Genomic DNA, 25,848 nt, shown 5'->3' with positions numbered 1-25,848 from the left:
TGAACCCGGGAGGCGGAGCTTGCAGTGAGCCGAAATCGCGCCACTGCACTCCAGCCTGGGCGACAGAGCAAGACTCCGTCTCAAAAAAAAAAAATATATATATATATATGTGTGTGTGTGTATATATATATATATGTGTGTGTGTGTGTGTGTGTGTGTATGTGTGTGTATATATATGTGTATATATATGTGTATATATATGTATATATGTGTATATATATGTATATATATGTGTGTGTGTATATATATATATATATTTCTGTGTTTTATGAGTTGCTTTGGGGAGAGGAGTTCTAGTTTCTATGACCCACCTTGGGGAAGAGGAATGAATGCTAGTTTCTGTTACTTGCTTCAGGGGAGAAAGAGAAATGGGAGACAGCAAGGCAGGAGAAAGTCAGAGATCTTGTTTCTGAGGCCTTTCAGCCTCCTTTAGTTCAAAGTATTCGGTATGCCAAAGTGCCATACTTTGGGGTATTGTTTTCTAAGCCCCAGTAAGGGCAAAGGAGGAAAAAGCAACGACCATGAGGAAGCGGTTTGGTCTTCTACCAAGACATGAAGGACTTAGTAGAGAAGGAGGTAAGAAGGGGTCAGACTTCAGATTTTTAAGGCACATCCCACAGGATTTCAGATGGAGTAGAGATAGCTTCAGAGAGACTCAAGGATGACAGATTTTTAGAATAGTGATGCCATTATAGATACAAAAATGAAGTGCATGTTTGAAGCCAGTGCAACCCAAGAGACTCATAGTAAGTGCGATCTGAGCTCGTCTGGGAATCAGGAGTCAGGGAGGGCTCCCTGGAGGAATTGACATGAGAGCCAGGGCCTGAAGAGTGCATCACGGTTAACTTAAAATTAAGTGGGGAGGCAGGAGAGTGGGCCTGGGGAAGAAGCAGTAAATGCACCAGATGAGCAGGCATTGTCTTCAGGCTGAAAAGCTGGTGTGTCCAGAGCTAAGAGAGAGGGCGCTGCTGGGTTTAAGATGATGACAGAGGGTGGGGTGAGAGGACTGAACTTGATCCTGAGGGCAGTGACAGCCAGAGAAAGGTGGTAAGTTAGGGAGTGATACAGCCCGAGAGCCCCCAAAACTCTGGCTGATGGGTGGAGAAGGTTCCGGAGGGGAAGCAGAGTGGAAACAAGGAGATCAGTGAGGAAGCCATGGTTTCATGAATGCTCCGGTTTTGAGGATGGACAGCCAGATTTGTGTCCCGGGTCGTCATTTCTCGAGCCGTGGCTTCCAGTGAGTGAGTTACCTACTCTCTCTGTGCCCCAGCTTTCCCCTCTACAAAATGGGTGTGATGGGCAATTGAATGAGATAACCTAGAAGCAGTGGAGGAGGACTGGATGTTGAGGGTGACCGCGGGGATGGACTCGGCATTCCCCCGGGCTCTCCAGGAGAAGAGAGGAGGTGCTGCACTCTCGGAGTCCCGCGTGGCCGCGTCCAGCGGTCCAGGAGGGGTCTGGGAAAAGCGGTCAGGAGCTCCAGCTGGAGGGCAGGCCTGGAGGTGGGACATGCCCCAGGCGCCCCGCCCCGCCCCGCCCCGCCCGCTTTTCGGAGTGGGCTTCACTGCCCCCTGGTGGCCACAGGATGCGACCTGAGAGCCAGCCCCAGCTCAAGCTGCTCCCGCTCAGTGCACACGACCTCTCTCGCCGGGGGGCCACTTTCCCCAATGTCCTCCATCCTCTACCCTACTCACCAGAAAAACAGCTACACTTCCAACCCTTAGGTACTGGATTCAGAGCTTGTATGGGCTCTCTGGAGCTTAGAATCGCCATCTTGTTTGGTTCAAGACCAAAGCCTCCAGCCTCCCACTCACGCCTTCCCCCACGATGTGTCCTCAGCTCCTGCCCCTAGCCATAGCCGTTCAAGTCCCTTCCTCACATTCTCCATGTGCTTCCAGAAATGTCTTCACTCGCTCTTTTATTTATTTATTTATTTATTTTTTATTTTTTGAGAGAGGGTCTCACTCTGTTGCCCAGGCTGGAGTGCAGTGGCCTGATCATAGCTCACTGCAGCCTCGACTTCCTGGGCTCAGGTGATCCTCCCACCTCAGCCTCCCACTGTGACTACAGGAGCACGCCACCATACCCGGCTAATTTTTTTGTATTTTTGCAGAGACAGGGTTTTGCCATGTTGCCCAGGCTGGTCTCGAACTCCTGGTCTCAAGCCATCACTTGGCCCCGGCCTCCCAAAGTGCTGGGATTACAGGCGTGAGCCACTGTGCCCAGCCCAGAAACATTTTTTCACATATTGGCACAGATATATATTTTGATCCTCCACTAATTTTTTACACAAATAGTAACATACTAAACACACTTTCCCTTGCTTTTTCCACCTGCATACTGTATCTTGTAGAGGTTTTTTTTTTTCTTTGAGACAGAGTCTCCTTCTGTCGCCCAAGCCGAAAGTGCAGTGGCATGATCTCGGCTCACTGCAACCTCCACCTTCCCGGTTCGAGAATTGCAATCTCCACCTTCTGGGTACAAGCAATTCTCCTATCTCAGCCTCCCAAGTAGCTGTGACTACAGGCGCACAACACCACGCCCAGCTAATTTTTGTGTTTACCCGACCTCAGGTGATCCATCCACCTTGGCCTCCCAAAGTGCTGGGATTACAGGCTTGAGCCACCTAGCCCAGCCTTGTAGAAGTTTCCATATTCACACATGAATCCCCATGTACTCACCAGGCAGTTTCAACAATTACCAACTGATGTCAACTTTATTCTTTTTTTCTAGCTGTGTGGTATTCCACAAGTTTTTAACCAGACCGCTCAGTGATTCCCAACTTTATATATTGCCATGGAACATGCTTGGAATTGCACAAAGGGAAAGCTGGAGGGGGTTTGGGACTCTCTATGTGGTTCTTGGTGAAAAACTCATTCAATTTCCATATATTACATATTTATGATGAAAGAAATGAAATATATTTCATAGAGAAAATATGAAGTTTTATCTTTGATTAAAACATCTAAATACATAAAATATTTTAAAATTTTTTCTTTAAAAACTTGACTTTGGTCCTGTAAATGCAACTTTTTATATGAGGTTTTATTATTGAAATGGCTCGGCCGGGCACGGTAGCTCACGCCTGTAATCCCAGCACTTTGGGAGGCTGAGGTTGGCGGATCATGAGGTCAGGAGTTCGAGACCAGAGCCTGGCCAGCATGGTGAAACCCCATCTCTACTGAAAAAAAAAAAAACAGAAAAAATTAGCCAGGAATGGTGGCGTGGTGGCGTGTGCCTGTAATCCCAGCTACTCTGGAGGCTGAGGCAGGAGAATTGCTTGAACCCAGGAGGCGGAGGTTGCAGTGAGCCGAGGTTGTGTCACTGCACTCCAGCCTGGGTGACAGAGCGCAACTCCGTCTCAAAAAAAAAAAAAAAAAAAAAAAGAGAAAGAAAGAAAGAAATGGCTCACGCAGGGCTCAGCATGGTGGCTTATGCCTGTAATCCCAGCACTTTGGGATGCCGAGGTGGGAGGATCGCTTGGGCCCAGGAGTTGGAGACCAACCTGGCAACATGGTGAGATCACTTGAACCCGGGTGAAACCCCATCTCTACTAAAAATACAAAAATTAGCTGGGCGTGGTGGCCCACATCTGTAGTCCCAGCTACTCGAGAGGCTGAGGCAGGAGAAATGCTTGAAACAGGGAAGCAGAGGTTGCAGTGAGCTGAGATTGTGCCACTGCACTCCAGCCTGGGCCACAGAGCAAGACTCTATCTCAAAAAAAAAAAAAAAAAAAAAAAAAAACAGAAAAAAGGAGACATTATAATCTCAAGTAGGAAATAAGAGAAAAATGTAAGCCATTCCAAAGCTTACTATTGAAATTATATTTAAACATTCTAATAGCTCTTCCTTTCTATAACTGACAAATTAATGTCAATATTTCTTGTATTCAGTTGGATTTGAAATCAATCCAAATGTACGTTTTCATTTTGAATATTTTAAAATAATGAGTTCAGAAAACAGGAAAAGATATAAATCTTTTAAACTCTTCTTTCTTTCTTTACCATTATAACTGTTATTAAAACTGGGCAAGGCTGCCGGGTGCAGTGGCTCACGCCTGTAATCCCAGCACTTTGGGAGGCCAAAACAGGTGGATCACGAGGTCAGGGGATCAAGACCATCCTGGCTAACACGGTGAAACCCCGTCTCTACTAAAAATACAAAAAAATTAGCTGGGCGTGGTGGCGGGCGCCTGTAGTCCCAGCTACTCGGGAGGCTGAGGCAGGAGAATGGCATGAACCTGGGAGGCAGAGCTTGCAGTGAGCCGAGATCGTGCCACTGCACTCCAGCCTGGGTTACAGAGGGAGACTCCATCTCAAAAAACAAAACAAAACAAAACAAAAAAAACTGGGCAAGGCTGTACAGCACCAAGGAAGAGAGAGGAAGGAAGGAAAGAAGGGAGAGAGTGAGGGAAACACAGAAGGAAAGAAGGAAGAAAGGAAGGAAAAGAAAGGGAATTATTGGTCACTATTACTTATGAACATGTATGCCAAAGTTATAATATTAATAAACCAAACCTAATATTAACAAACAACATAATATTAAAAGAATAATATATCACAACCTGTAGGGTTTATTCCAGGTAAACAAGATTGACTACATATAGGAATTTTTTCTTTTTGCTTTCTTTTTTTTTTTTGAGACGGAGTCTCACTCTGTAGCCCAGGCTGGAGTGCAGTAGCGCCATCTTGGCTCACTGCAACCTCTGCCTCCAAAGTTCAAGTGATTCTCCTGCCTCAGCCTCCCAAGTAGCTGGAATTACAGGCATGCACCACCATGCCAGGCTAATTTTTGTATTTTTAATAGAGACAGGGTTTCACCATGTTTGCCAGGCTGGTCTTGGACTCTTGACCTCAAGTGATCCGCCTGCCTTGGCCTCCCAAAGTGCTGGAATTACAGACGTGAGCCACCGCACCCAGCCAAGAAATTTATCTATGTAATTTATTGTATTGAAAAATTAACAAAGAAAATGCTTATGATTATTTCAGGAGATATGAAAATAGTATTTTGTAAAATTCAACACCTGTTCATTTTTTTCTTTTTTTTTGAGATGGAGTCTCGCTCTGTTGCCCAGGCTGGAGTGCAGTGGTGCCATCTTGACTCGCCACAGTCTCCACGTCCCAAGTTCAAGTGATTCTCCTGACTCAGCCTCCTGAGTAGCTGGGATTACAGATGCCCGCCACCACGTCCAGCTAATTTTTGTATTTTTAGTAGCAACGGGGTTTCGCTATGTTAGCGAGGCTGGTCTCGAACTCCTGACCTCCGGTGATCTGCCTGCCTCGGCCTCCCAAAGTGCTGGGGTTACAGGCATGAGCCACGGTGCCCAGCTAACACCTGTTCATGATTTATTAAATTTAAAAAAAAAAAGCTTTTTAGCCAGCTTTCACTTCTTTATAGTCTTCTGGGTCTATAGAAGTTTAAGATAATAATTTTGTGTATTGCTTGTGCAATGTTTTTTTTTTTTAAATAGAGACAGGGTTTCCTTATGTTGCCCAGGCTGGTCTGGAACTCCTGGGCTCAAATGATCCTCCTGCCTCAACCCCCCAAAGTTTAGGGATTACAGATGTGAACCACTGTGCCTGGTTCACTTGTGCAATTTTTAAAAATTGACAAATCACGCAGAAAAACCAGCAACTTATGTCATGATCAAATTTATTACATAGGCCAGGTGTGGTGGCTCACACCTGTAATTCCAGCAGTTTGGGAGGCTGAGGTGGGCAGATTGTTTGAACCCAGGAGTTCCAGACCAGCCTGGGCAACATGGCAAAACCCCGTCTTTACAAAAAAATACAAAAATTAGCTGGGCATGGTGGCACGTGCCTGTATTCCCAGCTAATAGGGAGCCTGAGGTGAGATAATCGCTTGAGACCAGAAGGTTGAGGCTGCAGTGAGCTGTGATCACATCACTGAACTCCAGCCTGGATGACAGAGCAAGACCCTGACTCAGAAAATAAAATAAAATCGACTGGCCGCGGTGGCTCTCGCCTGTAATTCCAGACTTTGACAGGCTGAGGCGGGCAGATCACTTGAGGTCAGGAGTTTGAGACCAGCCTGGCCAACATGGTGAAATCCCATTTCTACTAAAAATACAAAAAAAAATTAGCTAGGTGTGGTGGCGCGCACCTGTAATCCCAGCTACTCTGGAGGCTGAGGCAGGAGAATCGCTTGAACCCAGGAGGTGGAAGTTGCAGTGACCTAAGATCACGCCATTGCACCCCAGCCTGGGTGACAGAGCTAGAGGCTGTCTCAAAAAAAAACAAAAAACAAAAAAAAAAAACACACACACACACACAAAGTACAATAAAATAATGTATTACATAATGCCCAGCTTTCTATTTTTCTATCTCTACCATCATAGCCTTTGTCATGAGGCAAAAATAACAAGAACTATTTCTTACTATATAGAAAATAATAGAAATGGGCCATGCGTGGTGGCTCGTGCCTGTAATCCCAGCACTTTGGGAAGCCAAGGCGGGCAGATCACCCGAGGTCAGGAGTTCAAGACCAGCCTGGCCAACATGGCAACATGGTGAAACCCCATCTCTACTAAAAATACAAAAAAATTAGCTGGGCATGGTGGTGGGTATCTGTAATCCCAGCTACTCGGGAGGCTGAGGCAGGAGAATCACTTGAACCCAGGAGGCAGAGGTTGCAGTGAGCCGAGATTGCGCCATTGCACTCCAGCCTGAGCAACAATAGCAAAACTCCGTCTCAAAAAAAAAAAAGGAAAGAAAGAAAAAGAAAATAATAGAAATGGCTGGGCATAGCCAAGTGCGGTGGCTCACGCCTGTAATCCCAGTACTTTGGGAGGCAGAGGTGGGCAAATCACCTGAGGTCAGGAGTTCGAGACCAGCCTGACCAACATGGAGAAACCCCGTCTCTACTAAAAACACAAAATTAGCCAGGCGTGGTGGTGCATGCCTGTAATCCCAGCTACTCGGGAGGCTGAGGCAGGAGGATCGCTTGAACCCAGGAGGCAAAAGTTGCAGTGAGCAAAGATCACACCATTGCACTCCAGCCTGGGCAACAAGAGCAAAACTCCATCTCGAAAAAAATAAAATAAATAAATAAAAATCAAAGAAGACCTACATTTATATAGATCATATATGTTCATTTCTTTCTTTCTTTTTTTTTGAGACAGAGTCTCGCTCTGCCGCCCAGGCTAGAGTGCAGTGGTGCATCCTGGCTCACTGCAACCTCTGTCCCCTGGGTTCAAGTGATTCTCCTGCCTCAGCCTCCCGAGTAGCTGGGACTACAGGTGCCTGCCACCATGCCCAGCTAAATTTGTATTTTTACTAGAGACAGGGTTTCACCATGTTGGCCAGGCTGGTCTCGAACTCCTGACCTCAGGCGATTCGCCAGCCTTGGCCTACCAAGTGCTAGTATTACAGGCGTGAGCCACTGCGCCTGGCCTGATTTTTAATTAATATGCACAAACTCACATGAGAATTCTGACCATGTTGAGTATTCTCTCCTGAATTATTTAAGCCATCTCATTTCAATAAATTCACATATAAATAATTAGTTTTAATAATTTCATTATAGAGAGTCTTGTGAATTCTTGAAGTTCTTAAATGAAATTTAAATGGCCATATTACGAACTGTTAACAAGTCAATGTTAAAATTTGAGGAACTCATTTTTAAAATACTAAGATACCAAGAATGTGGACATAAAGCAAGAAAAAGTTTTTCTGAATATGAAATAGAAAATAATATAAACATAACATAGTGGCCTGGCCAACGAGATGGTTTGTAAATTTGTTGCTGAATAGGAAATGACCAGTACCCACGTCAACAAGTGCCCACGTCAGGCTCTAATTGCACTGATGTAAAAAACAAGCCAGGCATGGTGGCTCATGCCTGTAATCCCAGCACTTTGGGAGGCCAAGGTGGGCGGATCACCTGAGGTGAGGAGTTCCAGACCAGCCTGGCCAACATGGTGAAACCCCGTCTCTGGTAAAAATACAAAAATTAGCTGGGCGTGGTGGCAGGTGCCTGTAGTCCCAGCTACTCAGGAGGCTGAGGCAGGAGAATCACTTGAACCCAGGAGGTGGAGGTTGCAGTGAGCCAAGATCACACCATTGCACTCCAGCCTGGGCAACAAGAGCAAAAACTCCATCTCGAAACAAACAAACAAACAAAAAGCTGGACGTGGTGGCTTATGCCTATAATCCCACTTTGGGAGACTGACGCAGGAGGATTGCTTCAGCCCAGGAGTTTGAGACCAGCCTGGGCAACATACCAAGACTCCATCCCTACAAAAAAAAAAACTTAAAAAACAAACAAACCTCCCCCAGAAATAACTGCTATGATTGCACTGTAAAAATAATAATAATAAATTAAAATAATGATAGGGCTGTAGTTTACAAACCATTTATGAAGTGGAACATCCCTCCGCAGCTGTTTGGCTGTCCCCAAAAGGGTATATCAATCTTACCTGAACTTTGTGCCAAGCTCTCTGGGCACCTGGAAAACAAACTGTAGAGGGTAGGTGGATGGCCATTCTCCACAGCTGACCACTACAGTAGAGGTCCAGAAACGAAGAGGCCAACCGTGGCCAAGCTCAGCTCATGCTGGTGGAGCAGCAGGGGACCAGAGAAAGGATAGTGTAATGGTTTGGAGCAGGACCCTGAAACGAGACTGCCCAGGGGAGGCAGGTGCCCTTGGACAAGTGACGTAACCTCTCTGTTCCTGAGTTTTTTGCCTAAAAAATAGGGGTGCTAATCATACCTACTTCATGAGGTAGTTACACAGGTTTAATGCTCGTAAAGTGCTTAAGGATGGTATCTGGCACTGTAAGTACTATTTTTTTTTTTTTTTTTTTTTGAGACGGAGTCTCTCTGTCGTTCAGGCTGGAGTGCAGTGGTGCCATCTCGGCTCACTGCAAGCTCCGCCTCCCGGATTCATGCCATTCTCCTGCCTCAGCCTCCCACAGAGCTGGGACTACAGGTGCCCGCCACCTTGCCCGGCTAATTTTTTTGTATTTTTTAGTAGAGACGGGGTTTAACCGTGTTAGCCAGGATGGTCTCGATCTCCTGACCTTGTGATCCGCCCACCTTGGCCTCCCAAAGTGCTGGGATTACAGGTGTGAGCCACCGTGCCCGGCTGTAAGTACTATTTTTTATAGTAACTACTATAAATTGTATCAGACTGTGCTGCCAAACCACCACCAAGCTCTGCCTTAGTGTAGATTTCCCCCAAAAGCAAAGCCTAGAATAAAGATTCAGGGGCAAATGATTTAAGTGGGGAAGTGACACAAGGAAGGACAGGCAGCCAATATAGGGTGTAATAATGAGTAAGCTGCCACTCCAGGCAATGGGGCTCCTCCACCAGGGCATCCTTTGAAAAACCCGTGGAACACTGCTCAAAATTCTATCACTGAGGGAAAAGAACACCAAGGTGTTTATCCACCAACTCATCCCTCATTGGCTGAGGAGGGCTGCTTCAGGACTTTCTCCTTGACGTTTGGCATTTCCTGCCTGCCCCATGCTTGGTCAAAAACACACAGGTGGCTGTTCCCTTTAATGAGAACTGTCCACCAAAGCTTCAGAGAGCATCCTGCAGGCACATTGCCCACAGCGTCTGCCACAAGTTGTGATAATTTGTAGCACTCCAGGTGGAACAATTTGGTAGTTCTCAACTTCTGTTGTTACTGTTTTTGTTTTTGGAGACAGGGTCTGTTCTATTGCCCAGGCTGGAGCGCAGTGACATGATCGTGACTTACTGCAGCCTTGACTTCCCAAATTTGAGGATCCTCCCACCTCAGCCTCCCAAGTAGCTGGGACCACAGGCATGCACCACCATGCCCGGCTAATATTTTTTTATTTGTAGTAGAGACAAGGTCTCACTATGTTGCCCAGGCTTTAACTCCTGCTAATCCAAACAATACTGCAATCCATCATTTTGCATATATGCACATGTATCCACAGGGTACATCCCTAAAAGTAGAATTGCTGGGCCAAAGGGTGTATACATTAGTCATTTTGATGGATACAGTCCAATCAGGCAGCCTATGAAATCGCCTGTCCTCTGCACTCTTGCCAACATTCGTGTTAACACTCTGATCCTTGTCAATCTGGTAGATGAAAAAATAGTACTCATACTTTAAAATTTCATTTTTAAAAATCTAATTGAGGTTGGCATCTTTTCATGTATTTGAAAGCCATCTGTACTCCTAATAAGTTAATGAATCTACACAATGACCAATGAAAGCTGCTAATGCTACACAAAGACAACCAGGCGTCATGTGCTGCCTGCCAAGAGAACACAGCACACCCATAAAATATTCTTGCCAAAAAAATCAAGCGTGAGTCTAAGCTTCTAAATGTAATCACCATTTACAGAAAACAACGGGGACAGAGGGGCATAATAAGAGACACATGGGATTGCAATTACCAAAATACAGACTGGGGGAAATCCTCAGGACAAATGACTCAATTTTTTTCAACAAATGAAATGGAAGGGGAGGGAGGGGTAGGGAGAGAGAGAGAGATTATATATCAAAAGATATTTTAATATATATTAGGAAGAACCACTGGACTTCCACATCCAGGAAGATGGAGCAGATGTACTTTTCCCTATTTCTCCTCCTAAGTAAAACTAAGAACCTTTGACACTGTATATAAAATAAGAATAAGAAAACTCAGGCTGGGCGCGGTGGCTTATGCCTGTCATCCCAGCACTTTGGGAGGCTGAGGCAGATGGATCACTTGAGGCCAGGAGTTTGAGACCATTCTGCCCAACATGACAAAACCCTGTATCTACCAAAAATACAAAAAATAGCCAGGCATGGTGGCTCATGCCTGTGATCCCAGCTGCTAAGGAGGCTGAGGCATGAGAACTGCTTGAACCCAGGAGGTAGAGGTTGCAGTGAGCTGAGATCATGCCATTGCACTCCAGCCTGGGCCACAGAGTGAGACTCCATCTCAAAAAAAAAAGAAAGAAAGAAAAAGAAAAGGAAACTCTGAAAAGTGGAAAGAAGGCTGACCAGCTAGGGACCTTAAGACCTGAGACACAGCCAGGCGTGGTGGCTCATGCCTGTAATCCCAGCACTTTGGGAGGCCAAGAGGGCAGATCATGAGGTCAAGAGATGGAGACTATCCTGGCCAACATGATGAAACCCTGTCTCTACTAAAAATACAAAAATTAGCCAGGCATGGTGGCATGCACCTGTAATCCCAGCTACTCAGGAGGCTGAGGCAGAAGAATAGCTTCAACCCAGGAGGCGGAAGTGTCAGTGAGCTGAGATTGCGCCACTGCACTCCAGCCTGGGCGACAGAGCAAGACTCCGTCTCAAACAACAACAACAACAACAACAACAACAACAACAACAACCGTAATGAGATAGGTCTCATTATGTTGCCCAGGCTAATCTCAAAATCCTGGCCTCAGGCAGTCCTCCTGCCTCAACCTCCAAAAGTGTTGGGACTACAGGTGTGAGCCACCACACCCAGCCTTCAACTTCATTTTGTGTTGGTCATTTCTCCACATCTGTAGAATATTTTATTATCTGCTCACAATTCTGCCTTCTCTCCTCATGCCTCCATGCACATCCTGGCTGTAGGATATTTATCTGTCCATCGACACTGGGCTTGACCTCGGGTGGTAGACTGTATTTTCGAAAATGATCTCAAAAATTTTCCCTCTTGGCCAGGTGCAGGGCTCATGCCTGTAATCCCAGCACTTTGGGAGGCTGAGGCGGGAGGATTCCTTGAGCCCAGGAGTTCGAGTCTGCAGTGAGCTATGATCGTTCCACTGCACTCCAGCCTGGGTGACAGAGCGAGGCTTGGTCTCAAAAAGAGAGGAATGAGATCATGTCCTTTGCAGGGACATGGATGAAGCTGGAAGCCATCATCCTCAACAAACTAACACAGGAACAGAAAACCAAACATCGCATGTTCTCACTCATAAGTGGGAGCTGAACAATGAAAACACATGGACACAGGGAGGGGAACAACATACACCAGGGCCTGTGGGGGCGAGGGGAGGGAGAGCATCAGGACAAATAGCTAATGCACGCGGGGCTTAATACCTAGGTGATGAGTTCATAGGTACAACAAACCACCGTGGCACACGTTTACCTATGTAACAAACCTGCATGTTTTGCACATGTATCCTGGAACTTAAAATAAAATTAAAAAAAAAAAAAAGAAGAAATTTCCCTTCTCCCATGCACACCACATTTTACAATGGGATCTTGATGTCCTCCTACTGGGTGGTGGACTCCATGTCCTCTCCCTCTTGAACCTGGGTGTACCTTTGGTAGTGCCTTGACCATTGGGCTCCAGCAGAAATGATGCTTTTTGTCTTCTGAAGCTGAATCATAAAAAGACCATGCAGGCCAGGCACGGTGGCTCACACTTGTAATCCCAGCACTTTGGGAGGCCAAGGCGGGCGGATCACCTGAGGTCAGGAGTTCAAGACCAGCCTGGCCAACATGGTGAAACCCCATCTCTACTAAAAATACACACAAAAAAGCCGGGCGTGGTGGTGCACGTCTCTAATCCCAGCTATTTGGGTGGCTGAGGCACAAGAATCGCTTGAACCCAGGAGGCAGAGGTTGCAGTAAGCCGAGATGGCGCCATTGCACTCCAGCCTGGGCAACAGAGCAAGACTCTGTCTCAAAAAAAAAAAAGAAAAGAAAAGAAAGAAAGACAAGGCACTTCCCCTTCGCTCTCTTGGGACCCAGCCACTGTTTTTGTTTTTGAGACCGAGTCTCGCTCTGTCTCCAGGCTGGTGTGCAGTGGTACAATCTTGGCTCACTGCAACCTCCGCCTCTCGGGTTCAAGTGATTCTCCTGCCTCAGCCTCCCGACTAGTTGGGACTACAGGCACATGCCACCACACCCAGCTAATTTTTGTATTTTAGTAGAGACAGGGTTTCACCGTGTTGGCCAGGATGGTCTCGATCTATTGACCTCATGGTCTGCCTACCTCAGCCTCCCAAAGTGCAGGGATTATAGGCATAAGCCACCTCACCCGACCTCCAGCTACCATGTTTTAAGGGAGACCAAACTAGTCCACACAGAGTGACCATGGAGGGAAGCCACAAAGTGGTGTTCCAGTTGATCTGAGGTCCAGCTGTGGTCCCAGCATCAAGTGCTACATATGTGAGTGAAAACACCTCCAGCCAATCCTAGTCACAGCCCTTGAGTGTTTCCAGCTGAGGCCCCGGATGTTCTAGAGCAGAGGCAAGGGGTTTCCACCATACCCGGCCCAAATCCCTGACTCACAGAATCTCTGAACATAGTAAAATAATTGTTTTATGCCAGTCAGTCTCAGGTAGGTTTGTAATGCAGCAATCATAATTGGAATACCTTGGCCAGTGGAATGTGGTGCAGTTTTGTGTGTGCTTGTTTTGGGCCTGGACTTTAAGAGTGTCCCCACCCATTCCTCTGCCCTGCCAAAGTCTCAGACTTCTGCCATGAGAAGAACATGCCCTAGGTGTCCACTGGTCCCAGAACAAAAAGACAAACAGAATAACCTTCAGTCCAACTTTTTTTTTCCTGAAACAGAGTCTCGCTCTATTGCCCAGGCTGGAGTGGAGTGGCACAATCTCGGTTTACTGCAACATTCACCTCTGGGTTCAATCGATTCTTGTGTCTCAGCCTCCCAAGTAGCTGGGATTACAAGCGTGCACCAACACATCCAGCTAATTTTTGTATTTTTAGTAGAGATGGGGTTTCTCCATGTTGGCCGGGCTGGTCTAGAACTCCTGGCCTCAAGTGATCTGCCCTGCTCAGCCTCCCAAATCCTGGGATTACAGCCGTGAGCCACCGTGCCTAGCCCTGAGCCCAACTATTGTGGTCTCAATTGTGTCTCCCCAAATTCATATGTGGATGTTCTAACCCCCAGCACCTCAGAATGGGACTGCATTTGGAGATAAGACCTTTTAAAAGAGGTGATTAAGCCGGACACAGTGGCTCACGCCTGTAATCCCAGCATTTTGGGAGGCCGAGGCGGGTGGATCACGAGGTCAGGAGTTCAAGACCAGCCTGGCCAACATAGTGAAACCCCATCTCTACTAAACATACAAAAAATTAGCCAGGTGTGGTGGTGAGCACCTGTAATCCCAGCTACTCAGGAGGCTGAGGCAGGAGAACTGCTTGAACGAAGGAGAACTCCTTGAACCCGGGAGGCGGAGCTTGCAGTGAGCCGAGATCGCACCACTGCACTCCAGCCTGGACGACAAGAGAGAAACTCTGTCTCATAAATAAATAAATAAATAAATAAATAAATAGCTGATTAAGTTAAAATCCACAATAAATATTTGTTGGTTGAATGACTGTTGTCACAACTGCTTTGCTAAATTCTTCCTTTGGCACCTAGGGCATCTATGGAGACGTGCTACTCAGATTCTTCAAGAGAACCTGCTATGAAGAGGGTAGTTGTGTGACCACCTCCAGCTGCCACACTTTCAGACCTGCTGTAGTGTTCATGCTGAGGCCATGATCTTTCTGGGCCGCTCCCAACCAGGGACTGAGCACAATGGAGTTACTAGGTGTGATGGTTAACACTGAGTGTCAGCTGGGTGCAGTGGCTCATGCCTGTAGTCCCGGCACTTTGGGAGGCCGAGGTGGGAGGATCACGAGGTCAGGAGATCGAGACCATCCTGCTAACACAGTGAAACCCCGTCTCTACTAAAAATACAAAAAATTAGCCAGGCTTGGTGGTGGGCGCCTGTAGTCCCAGCTACTCAGGAGGCTGAGGCAGGAGAATGGCGTGAACCCAGGAGGCAGAGGTTGCAGTGAGCCGAGATCGCGCCATTGCATTCCAGCCTGAGTGACAGAGCGAGATTCCATCTCAAAAAAAAAAAAAAAAAAAAAAAAATTGAATGTCAACTTGATTGGATTAAAGGATGCAAAGTATTGTTCCTGGGTGTGTCTTGGAGGGTGTTGCCAAAGGAGATTAATGTTTGAGTCAGTGGACTAGGAGAGGCAGACTCACCCTCAATCTGGGTAGGTACCATCTAATCAGCTGCCAGCACAGCTGGGTTAAAAGTAGACAGAGGGGCCGGGTGTGGTGGTTCATGCTTGTAATCCCAGCACTTTAGGAGGCCAACGTGGGCGGATCACCTGAGGTCAGGAGTTCAAGACCAGCCTGGCCAACATGGTGAAACCCCATCTCTATTAAAAATACAAAACTTAGCCAGGCTGGTGGCCCATGCCTGTAATCCTAGCTACTCAGAAGGCTGAGAGAGGAGAATTGCTTGAACCTAGGGGGCAGAGGTTGCAGGGAGCTGAGATCACGGCACTGCACTCCAGCCTGGGAGACAGAGAGAGACTCCGACTCAAATAAATAAATAAATAAATAATCACACATAAGAACGTGGAAGTACTAAACTGGCTGAGTCTTCTGGCCTCATCTTTCTCCCATGCTGGGTGCTTCCTGCCCTCGAACATCAGACTCCAAGTTTTTCATCAGACTTCAGCTTTTGGACTCTTAGACTTACACCAGTGATTTGCCAGGGGCTCTCAGGCCTTCAGCCAGACTAAAGGCTGCACTATCGTCCTCCTTACTTTTGAGGTTTTGGGACTCAGACTGGCTTCTCCTCAGCTTGCCGATGGCCTACTGTGGGACTTCCCGTTGTGGTCGTGTGAATAAATTCTCCTTAATGAACTCCCTTTCATAGATACATCTATCCTATTAGTTCTATCCCTCTAGAGAACCCTAATACACTAGGGATGCATTAATTTTGCCCAATACAGGACTCCTCTAGCGGGCATTACTGCTCTGGGACTTCCCACTGGCCTAGCCAAGACTTTCTGAAAGATGCTGGGCCAGTTATCAATGTATTACTGCTCAGCTCCAAATGCACTCTGCTCTGCACACTGGAGATGAACTGAACTCCTTGACAGTGAGATGCTGAGCTTTGCAAGTAGTCAGTGCTAGAAGAGACTTTCAGGAGGAGAGGAGGTTTGTGTGTGTGTGTGTGCACGCGCTGTTCTTGCTCCTGTTTTTTGGTTGCTTAGCAGTGTGGTGAGGACATTTAGTGGTGATCTGCCCCAGCCATGAGCCCAGTGTGCATAGCCTATAGCAACATTGCAGGCTTCAGGCCCGGGGACCATCTTCCAGCAATCCTCCTGATGCAGATGCCTCAAGCTTTAGGCCTCACATCTGCAAATGTGCCCCAATTCCACCCGCCCACCAGTCTCAGCTCCCTTAGCCCTCTGAGGGTTATTCCTGCTTACGCAGGGGACTATGGACCAGCTTTGGCCGTAGGCAAGCCACCCAACTTCTCGCCATCCAGTGGGCTGCAACCAACCACACCTTCTCCAGTGAGGTCTGAGCCTCACTTGGGGAGGGCACCCCCTTCCAAGTTTATCAAGTTTATCTTTCCTTGGGGACTCTCCTTGGGTACCTTTTAAAGGTCTCTGTGCCTTCTTTTTTTTTTTGAGACAGAGTTTCCCTCTTGTTGCCCAGACTGGAGTGCAATGTCGTGATCTTGGCTCACTGCAAACTTCACCTCCCGGGTTCAAGTGATTCTCCTGCCTCAGCCTCCCGAGTAGCTGGGATTAAAGGCATGCGCCACCACGCCTGGCTAATTTTGTAGTTTTAGTAAAGACGGGGTTTCTCCATGTTGGTCTGGCTGGTCTCAAACTCGCAATTTAGGTAATCCACCCGCTGCGGCCTCCCAAAGTGCTGGGATTACAGGCGTGAGCCACTGTGCTTGGCCTTTGCCTATTTATTTATTTATTTTTGAGACAAGGTCTTGCTCTGTTGCTCAGGCTAGAGTGCAGTGGCGCAATCTTGGCTTATTGCAGCCTCCGTCCCCCAGGTTCAAGCAATTCTCCTGCCTCAGCCTCCTGAGTAGCTGGGATTACAGGTGTGTGCCACTATGCCCGGCTAATTTTTGTATTTTTAGTAGAGACAGGGTTTCCATGTTGGCCAGGCTGGTCTTCAACTCCTGATCTCAGGTGATCTGCCCACCTCAGCCTCCCAAAGTGCTGAGATTACAGGCATGAGCCACCACACCCGGCCTTCGCATCTTTATGGTTACTTTCCTGTGTAAGATTAATAATTTTTTTATATTAAACAACCCGTTTAAATTGCTTTGTGGTTTCTGTCTCCTGATGGGACTCAGAATGATCCAGAGGCCCTGAAGTCTGAGGCTGTTCCTATGCAACTCTCCTTTCTTCCCTTCTTTTCTTCCACAGGTGTCAGATCTGCACCACAGTCTGAAGATTCTCCCAACCTACTCCTGCTTCCTCTCTCCTTTATCTCTCACAGGCATCACCCCCAATAAATCTCTTCACATGGTTAATTCCTTCTTGGCATTTGCTTCTCAAAGAACCCAAATGGACACAGCTTCCCATCACACTTAGAATAAAATCCCCCAGCGCTTTGAGAGGCTGAGGCAGGAGGATCACTTGAAGCCAGGAGTTCGAGACCAGCCTGGGCAACATAGTGGAGCCCTGTCTCTACCAATAAAAAAGGCCGGGCGTGGTGGCTCATGCCTGTAATCCCAGCACTCTGGGAGGTCAAGGCGGGCAGATCATGAGGTCAGGAGTTCAAGACGAGCCTGGCCAGCGTGGTGAAACCCTGTCTCTACTAAAAATAGAAAAAACTAGGCTGGGCACCATGGCTCACGCCTGTAATCCCAGCACTTTGGGAGGCCGAGGCGGGCAGATCACAAGGTCAGGAGATCAAGACCATCCTGGCTAACACGGTGAAACCCCGTCTCTACTAAAAATACAAAAAAGTAGCCGGGCGTGGTGGCAGGCGCCTGTAGTCCCAGCTACGTGGGAGGCTGAGGCAGGAGAATGGTATGAACCCGGGAGGCGGAGCTTGCAGTAAGCCAAGATCGTGCCACTGCACTCCAGCCTGGGCGACAGAGCGAGACTCCGTCTCAAAAAAAAAAAAAAAAAATACAAAAATTAGCTGGGTGTAAAAGTAGCCCAGCTAATTTTTTGTATTTTTAGTAGAGATGGGGCTTTCACCATGTTGGCCAGGCTGGTCTTGAACTCCTGACCTCAAGTGATCCGCCCTCCTTGGCCTCCCAAAGTGCTGGGGTTACAGGAGTGAGCCATCGCACCCGGCCAAGTATTTGTTAATTAGCTGAATAAAAGAGTGTTCTCACCTTTGATTAAGCCACTTGCTCCACCCCGAATGCCTTCCCTTCTTCTTGCCTTTCCTAATCCCACCTAAGCCTTGGCTGTAGCCCCCACTCCTCCAGGAAGCCCTCATTGACTAGATGAGTTCTGAGCCCTTCTTGCCCCTCACCTGTTAAAATGCCTAATTTTAGGTGCCAAGTAAAGTCTGAAGTGGTGGTGAGAGGCAGAAGAGAATAAATTTTTTTTTGGAGCTTTACTGGGGTTAAGGGCAGGGGAGGGGAGGGGCCGCCAGAGGCTCCCAGCCAGGGCGGAGCCTCAGGGAGACAGCTGGGGATGCAAGTCACTTCTTCCACTGCTTCTTCTCATAGTCCCAGCGGGAGGCCAGGCCCTGCACAGGATTCACCTTCATGTCCAGCATGCGCTGCAGCTGCTGGGCTTTCCGCTCGTCCGTCAAGGTGATCGGCTTTGGAGGAAATACTGCAGGGAGTACATGGGGTGGATCAGGATCCTGCCAGTCTTCCTACACCAGCCAGGGTCTCCAGCCACCCTGTAGCCTCCCAGCCACTCGCAAGGCTGACGGTACAAGATACTCCAGGGTTGAAGTATCTTGCACTGAGGAGCTCACTCCACCCTGTCTAGCCCCGCACCCCAGACTTTCTCCTAGAGCATCGTCCCAGGCACCTCTGGGTTCTGACCCCAGCTTTGCCTTAGACCCCAAGGACTGTGGGAGCTGGGCCAAGGTCCTTCACAACTCAGTCACCTCACCTACCTCTGTGGTCTGTGGTAATAAGATCACTGATTTGAAGACTGCCTGAATCCAAATCCTGGCTCTACCACTCCCTTGCCCTGCGACCTTCAACAAGTCACTTCATCTCTCTGAGCCTCAGTTTCCTTACCTGTCAAAAGAGGTCCTATCCACTAGGATTGTGGGGACTGAGTATTTCCAAAGCTGTTGGCACAATGTTAGACAAATATTAAGCACCTGATACATGTTACCTACTATAATTATATAATTACTGAGTTTGTTCCCACTTGCTGGGCAGGGTCCAGGATGAAATAATTCCTTTTACTTTCTAAGAGGGTTGAAAGTAGGAAGTAGGTAAGAGTGTTCACTTTAAAAATATGGGGACAGGCCACCGGGCACAGTGGCTCATGCCTGTAATCCCAGCACTTTGGGAGGACGAGGCAGGCGGATCACTTGAGGTCAGGAGTTTGAGACCAGCCTGGCCAACATGGCGAAACCCTGTCTCTACTAAAAATACAAAAATTAGCCGGGCGTGGTGGCACACTCTTGTAGTCCCAGCTACTCGGGAGGCTGAGGCAGGGGAATCATTTGAACTGGGGAGGCAGAAGTTCAGTATATATATACACTGAAAAACACACAGTTCATACACAACAATCAGTTACAACACCATTCATGACTATGAGCCAAACACTGGCCTACAGCCCTCTCTCATTAAAATCCTCTTAAGTACCCTGAGATGGAACATTACTATTCCCATTTTAGAGATGACGAAACTGAGGCCCAGAGAGGTAAAGTTCCTGCATTCAAACCTAGACAGCCATGCTCTGTCCTTCACCCTACACCTCTTCAGAAATTTTCAGCTCTTCAGATGAGTGCCAGCATGGTTCCTTTAAGAAACTGTCTGGTGGCCGTGACCACAAGGGCATGGCCCAGGACTGCAGCCAGATGAGGTGTTGCCACTCACCGTAGACCCGCTGCCACCAAATCACCAGAGCTGCGAATCCAATGAAGAAGAAGACACAACCCATCACTGTCTTCCACTCATTGGAGCGACGGTTCATCTCCGCAAAGGTCTCATTGAACTGGAGCCGGTACACTGGAGGCAGTTGGGTGTGGGGAAGGGGCCTCAGGTGCGTCCACTCTAAGTGATCCCGGCTTCCCCCTCCCTGCAGCAGATGCTGTTCATTCAGCAAATTCTTACTGAGCACGTACTATATGCACAGCATGACCAGGAACAGGTGACAGCAGTGAATGAGCCAGATGAAAATCCCTGCCCTTGTGGAGTTTAGAGGGGGAGACAATGGCAAATGCTTCAGGCAAACAGTTGGCTGGCCAGGGAAGGTGTCTCAGAGGAGGTGACATTGGAGCTGAGGTTTGAAAAATCAATGGGAGAAAGTTGGTGAAAACTGGAAGGAAGTGCAAAAACCCTGAAGCAGGAAGTGGGTAGGGAAAGTGTGAAGTGAGGACCACTGTAGCTGGAGTGAAATGAGCAAAAGAGAGAGAATTTAGCAAATGAGAGGCTGGCTCTCTCAAATGAGAGGCAGAGCCGGTTCACACAGGACCTTGTTAGAATCCATGGAGAAGAGTTTGGATTTCATTCTAACAGAATTAGGGAGGGGGCCAGGCTTGGTGGCTCATGCCTGTAATCCTAGAATTTTGGGAGACCAAGACGGGTGGATTGCTTCAGTCCAAGAGTTCAAGACCATCCTAGGCAATAAAGCGAGACCCTGTCTCTAGAAAAAATTTAAAAATTAGCCAGGTAAGTCCGGGCGCAGTGGCTCACGCCTGTAATCCCAGCACTTTGGGAGGCCGAGGTGGTGGATCACGAGGTCAGGAGATCGAGACCATCCTGGCTAACACAGTGAAACCCCGTCTCTACTAAAAATACAAAAATTAGCCAGGAGTGGTGGCGGGCACCTGTAGTCCCAGCTACTCGAGAGGCTGAGGCAGGAGAATGGCGTGAACCCGGGAGGCGGAGGTTGCAGTGAGCCGAGATCATGCCACTGCACTCCAGCCTAGGCGACAGAGCGAGACTCTGTCTCAAAAAAAAAAAAAAAAAAAAAAAAAATTACCCTACGTGTGTAATCCTTTCTCAGTACATTAAATAAATATGAAAATAAATATCTAAAGGAAAATCAAAGCTGGCAGCAGAATTCCTTGGGAAAAGGGAACTGTCTTAGGTTTTGGGAAGATACTTGGGTGGGCGGTTCAGGCTGAGACAATGAAATCAACCAGTGGAGGCCACTCAGTGTGGCTGTGGTAGAGCCATGCATAGACACAGGCCATGCACTCCAGTGCTGCCACGCCTGCCTGCCCTGGAAGAGGTCTGACAAGACTCAAGGCATTTGGCCTGGCATGATGGCTCATGCCTGTAATCCCAGTGCTTTGGGAGGCCGAGGCAGGAGAATTGCTTGAGCCCAGGAGTTCAAGACCAGCCTGAGCAACCATAGTGAGACTGCTCTGTCTCTACAGAAATATAAATAAATAAATAAATAGCCGGGCATGGTAGCTCACCCCTGTAATCCCAGCACTTTGGGAGGCTGAGGTGGGTGGATCATGAGATCAGGAGTTCGAGACCAGTCTGGCCAACATGGTGAAACCCTGTCTCTACAAAAAAAATACAAAAAAAAAAATAGCCAGGTGTGGTGGCGCCCGCCTGTAGTCCCAGCTACTCAGGAGGCCAAAGTGGGAGGATCGCTTGAGCCCAGGAGGCAGAGATTTCAGTGAGCCGAGATGGGGCCACTGCACTCCAGCCTGGGTGACAGAGACCCTGTCTCAAAGAAAAGGAAAAAAAAAAAGTTGTTTGAGCTGTGAGGTTACACTGAAACTCCCCAAGCATCCCACCAAACCTTCATTGTAGCTAATGTGGTGTAGCAGCTAAGGGTGAAACCCCTGGTGCCTGTCTATGTGGTTTCAAATCTTGCCTCCACCACTCTCTAGCTGTGCAACCACTGTAAGTGACTGCACGCCACTGAGCCTCAGTCTCTCAAATGTGAGCTAACGAGAGCAACCTAACGCCACAGCGGTGCCTGCTACATGTAAGCGTGCAGGACATATTAGGGATGGTGCTCATTATCATCTTGCTTGGGGAATGTCCATCATTTCTTTCTCTCTCTCTCTTTTTTTTTTTTTTTTTCAGACAGGGTCTCACTTTGTTACCCAGGCTGGAGTGCAATGCCGTAGCACAATCACAGCTCACTCTAGCCTCAGCTCCCCTGGGCTCAAGTGATCCTCCTGCCTCAGCCTCCCAAATAGCTGGGACGACAGGCATGTGCCACCATGCTCAGATAAAGAGTGTCAATTTCTCTTTTTTTTTTAAATTTTATTATTATTATACTTTAAGTTTTAGGGTACATGTGGTTTGTTACATATGTATACATGTGCCATGTTGGTGTGCTACACCCATTAACTCATCATTTAGAATTAGGTATATCTCCTAATGCTATTCCTCCCCTCTCCCCCCAAGAGTGTCAATTTCTGAAATGGATGAAGAAAAAACCAAGATGTGTGTGTGTGTGTGTGTGTGTGTGTGTGTGTGTGTGTGTAGAAAGAGAGAGAGAGAGAAGGGGTAAAGGTGCTGAGAGAGGGCTGGAAATGCAAGCTCACAGGCAGGAACGGAGCCTGGCTGGCTCACAGCTGCATTCCCAGTGCATGGTATTGTAGTAGGTGCCAAATAAGATGTTGACTGAATGAATGAATGTGAGAAGCATGAACCTTTCCCCACTAGGAATCCCTTGAAATCTTGGAGGTCAGGCTGAGTGTTCCCATTCATGGAATGAAAATAAGGTGCTCCAAATTTCAAAGGGTCAGCTCAGGGATGCTCTGGTGGACATGACAAGGGACCACACATCCCTCCAGCCTCCCAGGGTCAGAGGGCTCCTCCCCAACCGCCTCACCTGCCTCTCTCTGTCCCATCTCCCCCACATCACTCAATTCCAGGGCCCTCCACAGTCTCCTGCTCTGACACCCTTCCCCATGCAGTTCCCACTCCCTGGCAGTGCCCTCCTCTTCACCCTTAAAGGCCAGCTGGAATGTGCCCTCCTCTGGGAGGTCCACCAAGATTTCATCTCACAGTCCTTGAACACACCTCACCCTAGCCACATGTTCTGTATTACAATTATTGGAGTCTGTATTGGTTTTCCCCACGGGACCGGGGGCACCATGGGGGCAGGAACTATCCAGGTGATTCACCTCATGTCCCCAGCATTGCCTAGCATCAGGCTATGCACAAACAGGTGAGTGAATAAAGAAACGAACAAAGGCATGAACTTCACCCCTCAGGTGTTTGGAGGTTTCTGGCTGTCTTGGGGGCCTCTCTCTGCCCTCTGATCCCTGACAGGCCATTCTTTCCAAAGTCAGCCCCCAACCCACTCTCTCCAGCCAGCCCCACCCTGACACTTACAGGCCACCTTTTCGGCGTGGGTCAGCTGGGTCCAGCTTCCCTTCTCCTTCTCCTTCAGGGCCTGCTCCTCAGCGTTGAGTTCTGTGCAGAAGGGCTCTTCTGGCATGGGGTAGTAGCGCTGGGCATAGCAGTTGGTGTAGGGGGACATCTTCCCCCCACCACGGGCTGCAGACACAATGGAGGGAGCTGAGTCCAGGCTGCCCTTGGGACACCCTATCTCTAACTATATTAATAAAGAAGGTGGCCGGGCTTGGTGGCTCATGCCTGTAATCCTAGCATTTTGGGAGGCTGAGGCGGGTGGATCACGAGGTCAGGAGTTCGAGACCAGCCTGGCCAAGACAGTAAAACCTCTCCTCTACTAAAAATACAAAAATTAGCCGGGCGCAGTGGTGGGCACCTATAATCCCAGCTACTCGGGAGGCTGAGTCAGGAGAATTGTTTGAACCCAGGAGGCGGAGGTTGCAGTGAGCCGACATTGCGCCACTGAACACTCTAGCCTGAGCGACAGAGCAAGACTCTATCTCAAAAAAAAAAAAAAAGGAGGTTTATAATAGCTTGGGGTACTAGTAAGGGCTCAATAAATGTTATCTTTGTTATTCTCCATGGGTCAGCAAGGCCCTTCTGCTATCTGGCTGAAGTCTCTCCTACTTTAGGTCTCTTTCTTCTTACTAGCATTGAAACTAGGGTCTGGAAAGGAGGAATCAGGGTCCAAGGTTCTGTCAGCATCCTCCACCTCAGAACAAAAGGTCTAGGGGCCTGAGGCTTGGGGGCTGGCTCCTAAGGAAGCTTGGAATGGAGATGACCACTGTCTGCTCACCCCGCGCACTCCATTTCCTGGAGAAACTTGACCTTGGACCAAGGAGTGGGATCATGGGAACATGGGAAGTGTGGTAGGAACAGGCCCAGGGTGGCATGGAAGGGCAAAGGGGGCAGCCTGCAGAGGGGACCCCTGCCCCTATCTCTGGAGTTAGGCAGGGAGGAAGGAGTCCAGGTCTCACTGGTGCCTTCTGAGCTGTGCATCCCTCGTCTTCCACCTCCACCTTTCCTCAGCACCAAGCTCCAGGCAGCTCTGGGGAGCATCTGGGGGCGTGAAGGTATAGATGAGTTCTGCCCCCACATCACCCTCTGCCCCCAAACCGCAGGGCCAGATGGAAAAATCCTTTTCCACTGGTATGGTAGTGGTAGGGGTGTCCCAGTGTTTCAAGGTCACCCTCATGCCCTTGACCCTTCTAATTTTGTCTGATATCCCCAGCGGGGGGCCAATGGGGGTCCTAGACCTTTGAAGCCCCTTTTTGGGACCTCAATTCACCATCTGAGAAGTGGGAGGAGGCCTAAGTCTTGGGCCAGGGTCTGAAGAGTTTGAGGCTGAGGGCTTGGGTTCTGGTGCCAGCCCCAGCTCAGTCTGGCCAGATTGGAGAACCCCGCTCACTTGTTTGCTCCCCAGAGGAAGCTGGGTGGGGTCCAGGTGGAGAGGGAGCAGTTCTTGAGTCTCTCTTCCCTGCAGGGGCCAGAGGCCCCTGCACCGGCAGAACAGACAGACGGTCTGGCCCCCACCCCTTCCCCCCTAATTGGCTGCCTACGTGCACACAGGCCTGCTCTGCTGGATCTGGTTGGGGTGGGGACTGGGCTTAGCCAGTCTGGCTGAGCCCAGTCTCCCACCCCCAGGGAAGACTCAGGGTTTGGCATCCATGGTGGTGGGGAGGGGCTTTAGAGGATGGGGACTTAACTGGGTCAGAGGGAGGGAGACACACATCTGGGGAAAAGAAGGGGAGTCCCACATCTAGGGAGAGAGAGGGGCACCCAACAAATAGAGTGAGGGAGGGGGCACACTACAGGTGATAAGTGGGAGGGGGCGGCCCACACTTCTGGAAAAGAGGGGCTCCGGCCAGTGATTATGATTAGTGGGTGGGAGAGCTCCACATATCAAGAGAGGGAGGATGTAATCTATATTTGGGGAAAGAGATGGCACACATATGCAGACTCCCCAGGAGTCTTCAACTCTAACCTACAAGAAGCCCCCCAACCCTCTAAGACAGGGACCACTGGGGCGTGACCCAGCGGCGAAGGCAGGAGACCGAGCCGCGCCCCTGACCCGCGCGGGCTTGGGTGGCGGGGTCCTCCCCCAACTCACTCACCTCGCGGGCTCGGCAGTGGGAGCGCGACCTGGGTCTGCCCAGCGAGCAACTGAGAACCCGCTGCGGAGGGACCTGAGTGCGGGCGCCCGCCCCCGGCCCGCCCCACAGCCTTTCTCGGGGCCGCCCCAGCGTGGGAACGTCCTGCTTCGGCAGGGCGTGGGAGCGCACAGCCTGCGTCCCTGGGGGCACCCCGGCCCACAGATTGGGGGGAGGCACTGCAGAGCGCCTCCTGCATCAGTGTCCCTACCGGGGTCCTGCCTCTGGAGACCCTCTGCAGACAGTAGTCCCAAGAACAGGGTCTCCCTGCCTCCTCCACACCTCCCCTCCTTGCTGTTTCTCCCACCTGGGATGTTCTCTTCAGGCCTTTGCAGACGCAAACCTTCCAGCCAGGCCCAATGCCTCCTACTCCAGAAGCATCTTTTAGGCCAGCAGTGGCTCACGCCTGTAATCCTAGCACTTTGGGAGGCCGAGGCGGGAGGATCACCTGAGGTCAGGAGTTTGAGACCAGCCTGCC

The 25,848-nt window shown here is 49.0% G+C and overlaps 1 protein-coding gene across 4 annotated transcripts, besides 4 other annotated features; it reads right to left on the bottom strand.

The window, feature by feature from the left end:
* Nucleotides 1,222-1,949: an enhancer, noted in NCBI's record as "H3K27ac-H3K4me1 hESC enhancer chr20:30249151-30249878 (GRCh37/hg19 assembly coordinates)". NCBI's record gives its function as "activates a minimal SCP1, AML or CMV promoter by ChIP-STARR-seq in naive H9 embryonic stem cells {active_cell/tissue: H9 hESC(naive)}" and the evidence as "EXISTENCE:reporter gene assay evidence [ECO:0000049][PMID:30033119]".
* Nucleotides 1,455-1,644: a silencer, noted in NCBI's record as "silent region_12760". NCBI's record gives its function as "represses an Ori minimal core promoter by ATAC-STARR-seq in GM12878 lymphoblastoid cells {active_cell/tissue: GM12878}" and the evidence as "EXISTENCE:reporter gene assay evidence [ECO:0000049][PMID:35858748]".
* Nucleotides 14,824-15,024: a silencer, noted in NCBI's record as "peak4185 fragment used in MPRA reporter construct". NCBI's record gives its function as "represses an SCP1 promoter by STARR-seq MPRAs in K562 erythroleukemia cells {active_cell/tissue: K562}" and the evidence as "EXISTENCE:reporter gene assay evidence [ECO:0000049][PMID:32103011]".
* COX4I2 (cytochrome c oxidase subunit 4I2) lies at nt 18,291-25,385 on the bottom strand. 4 transcript variants are annotated; one of them, NM_032609.3, is made up of 5 exons: nt 25,335-25,385; nt 24,198-24,279; nt 23,200-23,364; nt 19,762-19,893; nt 18,291-18,529 (listed from the first exon to the last, which is right to left on the bottom strand). In NM_032609.3, the coding sequence occupies exons 2-5, from the start codon at nt 24,277-24,279 to the stop codon at nt 18,393-18,395; spliced, it is 516 nt and encodes a 171-aa protein (NP_115998.2). In that variant the 5' UTR covers nt 25,335-25,385; the 3' UTR covers nt 18,291-18,392. The 4 variants fall into 4 exon arrangements, with proteins under 4 accessions (NP_115998.2, XP_005260638.1, XP_005260636.1 ...); XM_005260581.4 differs by lacking the exon at nt 19,762-19,893; XM_005260579.5 differs by lacking the exons at nt 24,198-24,279; nt 25,335-25,385 and adding an exon at nt 24,017-24,175.
* Nucleotides 25,325-25,464: a silencer, noted in NCBI's record as "silent region_12759". NCBI's record gives its function as "represses an Ori minimal core promoter by ATAC-STARR-seq in GM12878 lymphoblastoid cells {active_cell/tissue: GM12878}" and the evidence as "EXISTENCE:reporter gene assay evidence [ECO:0000049][PMID:35858748]".

Source organism: Homo sapiens, chromosome 20, assembly GCF_000001405.40.
Source record: "Homo sapiens chromosome 20, GRCh38.p14 Primary Assembly".
NCBI classification, from domain to species: domain Eukaryota; kingdom Metazoa; phylum Chordata; class Mammalia; order Primates; family Hominidae; genus Homo; species Homo sapiens.
This window is presented reverse-complemented; position numbering and strand designations above follow the sequence as displayed.

Coding starts and splice junctions, on each gene's coding strand:
- COX4I2 (XM_005260579.5), bottom strand. CDS start 24,113: ATGCCACCCTGGGCCTGTTCCTACCACACTTCCCATGTTCCCATGATC. Junction 19,894..23,199: donor CCACGCCGAAAAGGTGGCCT/GTAAGTGTCAGG, acceptor AACTGCCTCCAG/TGTACCGGCTCCAGTTCAAT. Junction 18,530..19,761: donor TTGGTGGCAGCGGGTCTACG/GTGAGTGGCAAC, acceptor TACTCCCTGCAG/TATTTCCTCCAAAGCCGATC.